Genomic DNA, 9,193 nt, shown 5'->3' on the forward strand with positions numbered 1-9,193 from the left:
TCTTCAGAATTTCCCTAGTCTGAAAGTGATCATGTTCTCCTTTTTCATCTTGTCATGAAGCATGATGGCTGATTTTCTAGTATTCATCTGATGTGTTTGTCTCCACTACTAAGCTGTAAGATCTGAGGGGGAAGGAATTAAGAAACTTCAACTCTAGGCTCAGCTCAGCCATTAATAACCATGTGCCCCAGAAAAAGCCACTATACTTCTCTGAGCCCAGTTTTCTTATCAGTCACAACATTTTTGAAAACAAATAGCCAAGCCTTACAAGACTCAAGAAGAAAGCAGTAGCTCGTGCTGCCTCTATGTTCTTAAAGTAGGGAAACATATTCTTTCTTTCCTATGTAAATGAAAATAAACATTTCAAGTAAATAAATTAGGTTATTACTGTCTCTAAGAACTACAAGCCTCATGGAAATACAAAGAATGTGTTTATTGAAGTATATGAAGTAAACACTGAGAATTATAAATCTGAGCGATTAATCCAGAATCCCAAGTTCCATGGAATGTTTAATTATGTACCAATACCCTCCATTCAAGTAAACAACTTGCAGGTTGATTGAATTCATGGACTTTCATTGGTGGTCTCTGAAATTAAATAAAAACCTTTAAGCTTTCTTAAGGTGTTGTTTATAGCAGGTGTTATGTCTTATGCACCTGCAGGGAGGGATGGTCAGGCAGGGGCTTGTGACCTTATTTGAACAGTTAAAATACTCAGTACATAATCACCAAAATGTCCTTCTAGGAAAGAATTTCATTTAAGTCTGGTTAAAGTAGACTTTAATATTCATAAGAGGACAGAATTTTTGCCTAAATAAATCTATCGTGCAGAGTTTTGTGGCAATAATTAAATAAAGCCGAAGAGCTTAACATTACAATGGAAATTTTTCTTTCTAAAATAGGAAATAAAAACAAATAGTTTAACATTTCAGGTCATGAAAAAGAGCTTATAAAATTCTCAGACTACAGATATTAAGGTACATTCATACAAAAAAAAGAGGAAATAAAAAGAATAACAGGAGTTTTTTTTGGTTTAACTTTACAAAAATAATTGTGAAAACCTGGATGAAAGAAATAATGTTCTAGAAAAATATGGTGTACTCATCCAGATGATAGAAAATCTAGGTAGATGTTCTAAAAAGGAAATCAAATAAGTAAAAAAGTTGCTTTTGTTTCTTCAAATGGTTTCCCTGGAGAATTCTACAAAACATTTAGAGACCACAAAATTCCAATGTTACTTAAATTATTTCAGATCATTAAAAAAGAAGAAAAGTCTCTAGGTGCATTTTATGAAGGAAGTATAACATTGATAACAAAGAAATGACAAAGATCACACCAAAAGGAGAATATGGAGACTAATCTCATTTATCAATAAAGTACAAAAATCTGAAAATACTAGCATATAAAGCTCAGTAGTTCTTAAAAAAATGATAAGTCATTACAAGGTGGGGTTTATTTTAGAAATATAAGACAATATTATGAACTGTAATTCATTACTTGATGGATCCAAAGAGAAAAAACAACTGATCAGCATTAACAATACTGAAAAGAGCACTGAGCCAGCATCATGTTTTATGGAATAACTTAAGAAGCATTCCGAATTTTTTTAAATGGGGTGATGAGATGAAGTGGAGGTAATAGTCAAGTTCATTTTGAAAAATAAAAATACCTCATGCATACATCAACATAAATTACTCTTAATGAGTTAATATTTTAAATGTAAAAAAATCAAACAGCAAAAACATTAGTAAATTCTTGTAAAGGAGGAAGATCTTTCTAATTACAGACTCAAAGCCATAAGCCATTTTAGAAAAGATTGTAAAATTCAAGTACATTAAAACAAGTCAAAACAAAAACTTCTGCGTGGAGGTAAAAATTTGATAAGCCAATTCAAAGGACAGACAACTGACAAACTGACAAACATTATTTGTAACTCATATCACAAAGAAAAAGCTCACCTCCCTCTTACGTAAGCATCTTCTTCAAATAAATATTAGGTTGATGGAAAAGTAATTGCGCTTTTTGCCACACTAGTAATAGCAAAAACCACAATTACGTTTTTTTTTTCGCCAACCTAATATTTAAGTTTACTTTTGCACCAACTTAAAAAAGGCTCATGCCCATAATCCCAGCACTTTGGGAAGCCAAGGAAGTGGGCTGATCGCTTGAGCCTAGGAGTTTGAGACCAGCCTGGGCAACATGGTGAAATCCTGTCTCTACGAAATATACAAAAATGAGCTGGGCATGGTGGTGCGCACCTGTAATCCCAGCTATTCAGGAGGATGAGATGGGAGGATCGCTTGAACCCGGGAGGTGGAGCTTGCAGAAAGCCAAGATTGTGCTGCTGCACTCCAACCTGGGTGACAGAGCCAGACTTTGTCAAATAAATAAATAAATAAATAAATAAATAAATAAAGATGTCTGTCTGTTAAACACATAGGAAAAAAATAGGCAAAGAATATGAACAGAGAGTACAGCACAGGCAATACAAATGGCCTTTAGATTTATAAGAGGATACTCATCTGCACTCATAAAAAGAGAAATGCTGAATCAAATAATACCATGTTTATGGTTTCAAAACATGGCCCCAGAATTATATGACACTCTTTCCATTAGGAGGTGAAGTCTGTATCTCTTTCTCTTGAATCTGAGTTCTGTAGCTTTGCAACCAAAAGCTTACGCAGGGGTATTACTGGGCCAATTTCTGAGCCAAGGCTTTAAGAAACACAGTTTCCACTTCCTCTGTCTCTTTCTCTTAAAACCCAGCCACCATGCTGTGAGGAAGCACAAGCTTCTCAGTAGGAAGGCCCATGCGGACAGGAACCAACAGTCCGTACTGACTTGCCAGCCATGTGAGTATCCGTCCTGGAGGCAGGGCCTCCAGCCTCAGTTGAGCTGCCCAGTTGGCCCTGGAGGGAGCTGTCCTCGTCAAGCTTGGAGAAACTGAAGATTTGAAACTAGTTAAGTAAGTGTTTTGTTTTAAGCCACTGTGAGCTGATTTAAGGTGGTCTTTTAATATATAGTGATAGATAACCAGAGCAACCATTTTTACTATTTTCCACTTCTTTTAGAATGTCAAAAATCCAGAAATTTGACAACTAGATTGTCAAGGCTTTGTGGAAGCAGTTACTCTTACACATTGCTAGGAGATACGGAGATGAGATGGATTGAGGCAGCCATGGAAGCAATCATTTCCTGTATTTTTTTTTTTACTCTTTTGGATTTGGAACTATATGAGTAAAATAACTCTTTCACACAGTCTACCTTGAAAATAACCTTGAAAATAAAAAAAGTTAAAGTATATACCAATTAGTTATTTAGGAAATTTATATTTAATATGTGTATTGAATTATACAGTTTATAAGGCAATTTTACAAATATTGCCTCATTTTATTAATCATAACAACTCTCTGAAGAATAAGTAGGACAATTATTATAATCCCCATTTATAATTGCAGAAACCAAAACCCTGGTTTTCACCCATCAAGTAAATAGTAAGGCCAGAATTTAAACTGAGCTCTCCTGATACCAAATCCAATTCTTTTGCATGAAACAGCTTCATTTAATGGACAGCAAACTATGATAGAAATGAGTAGATCCAGGTCCTACTTCCAACTTTTTCTTTATCTCTTGAATATTACTGGGTAAGATACTCAAGTTCTCTTGCACTCAATTTCATCACCCAAAAACTAGACATGAAAATACATATTGTTCTCATTTACTTCTGGAGAGCATTATCGGGATAAAATAAAATAACAACTGTGAAGATGTTTTGAAAAAGGAATTGCAAATCATTAAAATATGAATTATAAATGTAAAAGAGCATGGCTCTGCTTAAAGATAGCTGACTGAGGACACAAATTTTCAGTTAAAAAGATAGAGTTAAGAATACTCACCAATGTGAGATGTAAAGAAATTTTAAGGAAATAGGAAGTAGATGGAGTATGAAAACTGATGAAGTGGGAGAGAAGCAGGACTGTGTAGCATACACTAAGAAGAAACACAGCCAAAGAGGTTGCTGATCAGCCCCACAGATCTCTGGACTGTCTAGGATTTGGACATACCATGTGCATTACTACCACTCCAGTCCAAAACTAAAGAGATCAGTGCCCCCCAGATAAAGCCAATTCCATTCAGACATTTAGTCATCTCCAGTGAAATGATTGACTTGCGTTGTCATCTCAGAAGTAAATCTGGTAATTGACAAATTCCATCCACATATCCAGGTCTCTCAATCAGCTTTCTGTTGCCTCAGTCTTAAAAGTGACCATTGAAAAACAAATGATACAGGGAATAGAAAAGAATTTTAAAAACCTCTGATTGGTATCCTTATAAAGATTCATTAAAAATTTCCATCCAGTAAAAGAAGATAGTATACTAAGTAATAATGAGGAAATAAGAAAGGCCTCTCTGAAAATTTTTTTCACACACAAAAATAAACAAATAAGTTCGAATTCAAATTAAGGAAGTGTCCTTGAAAATATTACAAAGGATGAAGAGTTGTAGAATACAAGGGTAAAATTCAGAGATATGAAATTATCAATATGTGAGATCCAACATATAACCAATGGGATTCCATAAAAAAGATTAGTAAAATTGGAAAGGAGGAATTATCGAAAAACTAGAACAGCAGTTCTCAAGGTATGATCTGAGGACCTCTGAGGTCCTCCCTTTTCTTTATCATAACCAAAAGACATATTTCAACAGATTGAATGCAGAAGCAAATACAAGAATCAGTTGTCTTCTTGTAAGATATTATAGAGATTGTCAAAAACAATGCTATTTTTAACCTTAATCCTTTTGTTTTGGGAAGTATATTTTCAAAAAAATGTATATTATCAATGTTAACATGCAATGATTTTCTTATTAAAATATTTTGAAATTAATGCGTATTTTTTACATTTCTGAATTTAAATTTCTAGTATGTTAAATACTGATAGATGCAGTAAACAAAATATCTTTAGTGTCTCCAATATTTTTTAAGAGTGTAAAGAAGATCTAGGATAAAAAAAGTTTGAAGGCTGATATTTTAGAGAATACCTCAAACTGAAGGACAGTAGCCTGCAAATGAAACAAACAAACAAAAACCCAAAACCAAAAAAAAAAAAAAAAAATCTAGTGAGCTCCCAGCACAATGAAAACTAGACATAACTGAAAGTTTTGAACACAAGGGATACATAAAATATTCTAAAAAATTTCTAGTGAAAGAAAGTAGGTTATTAAGGAAAAAAATCAGACTAAAAAACACTAGAATAAAGCCTTTAAAATTTGAAGGGGAAAATAATTTCCATCTAGAATTGTTTATACAGTCAAATTAGCAATTAACTACAAGGGTATGATAAAGCCATTTTTATAAGTGCAAACACTTGGAACTTTTATCCTTTCCTCAGGAGTTACTTGAGTATGTGCTCCAGCAAAAAGAATGAGTGAATGAAGAGAGAGGAAGATATAGTCTATGGCAGTGTAAATTTAATTTACAAAATTAATAAAGGAAAGTACAATGATGATGGCTCTACAGTTGATCTAGAGAACCTATCTACAGGTCAGAATAAACCAGAGGTAAGAAGATCTGGGATGGCGATCACAAGGAAATCAAAGGGGCCTGAGAGATTTTATAGTATTCTTAAAATGACTTAAGAAGATGATATAAACAAATAATGCAAAGAAATAAGAAAGCATTTTCGAACTAAAAAAACACAGGAAATAAATGTAATCATGACACTCAACTGGATAGTGAACAATATTTACATAATTATAAAGATGTAAATAAACACTTTATTGATTTTTTTTTTTTTCAGACTGTCTTGCTCTGTTGCCCAGACTGGAGTGCAGTGGCGCAATCTCGGCTCACTGAAAGCTCCGCCTCCTGGGTTCACGCCATTCTCCCACCTCAGCCTCCTGAGTAGCTGGGACTACAGGCGCCCGCCACCACACCCGGCTAATTTTTTTTATTTTTAGTAGAGGCGGGGTTTCACCATATTAGCCAGGATGGTCTCGATCTCCTGACCTCGTGATCCGCCTGCCTCGGCCTCCCAAAGTGCTGGGATTACAGGCGTGAGCCACTGCACCTGGCCTGATTTTTAACTTTTAGAATCATGCCATGTGAAAGCATCAAATAGTATGTTTATAGGATGGCATGTAAATGGTATTAGCCTTGAAATGTTATAGTACAAGTACACATGTCAGAGGCTAGAAGGTGGAAAGGAATAGTGAAGGGGCTAACATCCTTATTTCATAAAGTGGAGAGAACAATAAAGGTGAGCTACATTATTATCTAAAATTAAAAAGGTAATCAACAGAGAAGTACAAATATTGACATAGCTACACTGGGGACAAGTGAAAGTTGTCGTTAATGTGTTAAATAATTTCTTACTAGAGCAGAACATATATAAATAACAAGTAAACTGAGAAATCTAGAACTAGCTGCCTAAGATTATTATCTAGCAGTAACAGCCATTTAAAGAAGTAACTACCAGAAGAAACAAATAACTAAAAGGATTGTCTGTGGAGATGTGAATGGGGACAGAAGAAATTCATTAAGACCCTTTACTTTCTTTAAAGTGCAAGTATTTTGATATCTAACCGGATGTCTCAATTAACAGAAGAGTCACGTCTAGGAAGGATGTTTGAAATGTTACATTAGGAGGCTGACAGCTGTTCCTTCCTGAGGTTTGGAGGTGAGAATTATTGACATAACCCCAGTATCATGGAGCACTCCTCTCTGCAAGTGTAAAGTGCTGTGTGTTGTTTGAAGAACACTGCATGTGCTATCTTCCTCAGTACTATTCTGGTAAGTAACTTAAATCACCACTAAATATTTTAGCTCTTCTCTCTTCCTTTCCTCATTATTCTTCTCTCCAGTTTTTTATTCCGTTGTCTCCTTTATAGTTGCCATTTACAAACTGGTTCAAGTTTTTGTTAAAGAGTTTTAAGTTCTTACGGAGAAAAACACTGGAGTAATTTATATTAAATCATACTTTTGGAATCTCTTGTCCTCGTTTGGACAGGAATATGTGGGGAAATCCAGGGGCTTCTTCAGAACAGCAAAGCTCTTTCGGGTAAATCCTCTCCTCTGAAAGGGCCTTTCTGTCATTAAGTGATAGACACTCTGGAATGTTGCAAATAGAATAGAGACACTGGAGACCCGCATGCCCCCGTATGCCCATGTGGCTCCATTTTTGCTGGAACAATGGATATCAGCCAGCATCTTCTATCTTAGTTTGGGCTGCCATAATAAAAATGCCATACACTGTGAGACTTAACCAGCAGAAATTTATTCCTCACAGTCCTGGAGGTCAGGAAGTCCAAGATCAAGGTGCTGGCACATCCAATGTCTGGTGAGCACACTCTTCCTGCTTTGCAGATGAATGCCTTCTTGTATCTTCATATGATGGAGCAGAGGGAGAGAGGAAGCTCTCTCCTTCTCCTTATATGTGCACTAATTCCATTTGTGAGGGCTCTATATTCATAAGCTGCCACAGGCCCCAACTCCAAATACCATCATATTGGGCATTAGTCTTCAACATATGAATTTTAGGGGAGACACCAACATGTAGTTCATAGCAGCTTGATATATTCTGAATGCCATTAAATTAAAAAAATAAGGAGACCTAAGTTTATTTTGCAGATCGGTATAGTGATTGTAATAAGACAAACCATCCTAGTATTGAAAGCCCTGCATCCTGAGAAATCCCCTAGTCCCAGAAAAACTGGAACACTTGGTCACCATATGGTTAGGATGACTAGTATGAAGCCAACTGCTCTGAATAAGATCCCAGATCCACCACTTATTAGCTATGTGAATTTGTCAAAATTATTTCATCTCACTTTTTCTCAATTATCTTATATAAAAATGAGAATAGTGTACGTACTTAACTGGTAAGGTTATAATAATAAATGATGTAAGACATGTAAAGAACTCAAAATGGTGCCTAGCACATGTCAAGCACTAAATAAATATTACCTAATAACAAAAACAATAATGTTACTATTTTTAAGTGGAAAGATGATTTATTGTATACTAAAGTAAACATAATTGTGTAAATGATATCATTTTGTGTTGGAGGTTGATTATGTCAAATGGGACCCATGGATGCTTTAAGATGTCAGCTGAGTGAAAATCAAATATTTAAATGGTTAATTCTATAAACTCTGCAGAAACAGCTGCCAGGGAAAGCTACACCCCGTGTTTATCAGTGTTGTAGACAAAGCTTGAATAAATAGGTGCTATTAAAACAATCCAGTAAACAAAGCTATTTTCATATCTGATTTTAAAATATGAGGTCATGTTCACATAGATGAAATTCAAATGAACATCAGGTATTTATCGTTGACAAAATAGGTCATAAAATGTGGAATATGGAGAAGTAGAGACAGGGGTTACTAAGTTTGAATTGTTCCAGTACTTATTACTTTTATGATATTAGGAAATTCCTAGTCTTCCTGAAATTGAGGATTGTAAAAACATACAGTGGATATCTGCTTCTTTTTGTTTGTTTCTTTGCTATACAACTTGTGAACATCCTTCCTGCCTTTTAGTAATCTCCTAGCAAGTGGGCACTGGTCCCATTATGGAACTGAAGTGGCCAAATACTGCTTCCTCCCGCCTCGCTGTGGTTATAACAGTAGTCATGAAACCTTAGCATGAATCAAAATCACATGCAAAACTTTTTAAAACATAGATTGCTGAGCCCTATCCCCAGGGGGTTTGAGAATTTGTGTTTCTAACAAATTCCCAGGTGATCTTGATGCTGCCGGTTGGGGACTATACCATAAGAACTACTGAGCTAGAATGTGGGGACATGATTTAGGTCAATCAAAGAGATGAAGCTATCTGGGATTTGAGATAAGGATACAAACATAAGGCTAGCTGAGAAATTATCTGTGGATAGAACAAGCATAACAGGAATCCAACTCTAGCAACGCCAAGTGTTCAACGATTGTTATCAAAGCAGGTAGCTTTTAGATTGTTGCTGTGAATGACCTTGGCTGTCTAGGCTTCCTTGATTTTTTACTGTTTCCTGGAGACTAACTCCATCACCTTCTGTCAGTCTATGAGCCACGCTATGTCTCTTCAGTAAATTACCTGTATGGGTAAGCTCACCACTGTCAGTTTCTGTTGCATGCATCTAGGAACTCTGACTAGAGGAGCAATGTTATCAATGAGTAAGCCAGGACTTAAACTGTTGTCAGC

At 35.5% G+C, this 9,193-nt stretch overlaps 1 long non-coding RNA gene across 1 annotated transcript; it reads left to right on the top strand.

The window, feature by feature from the left end:
• The first annotated feature begins 2,612 nt into the window (after window positions 1–2,612).
• Window positions 2,613–6,784, top strand: LOC105375926 (uncharacterized). The gene is made up of 3 exons (XR_929106.3): window positions 2,613–2,965; window positions 5,391–5,559; window positions 6,603–6,784. It is a non-coding gene; the product is annotated as an uncharacterized LOC105375926 (long non-coding RNA).
• Window positions 6,785–9,193: the final 2,409 nt, after the last annotated feature.

Source organism: Homo sapiens, chromosome 8 (assembly GCF_000001405.40).
Source record: "Homo sapiens chromosome 8, GRCh38.p14 Primary Assembly".
NCBI classification, from domain to species: domain Eukaryota; kingdom Metazoa; phylum Chordata; class Mammalia; order Primates; family Hominidae; genus Homo; species Homo sapiens.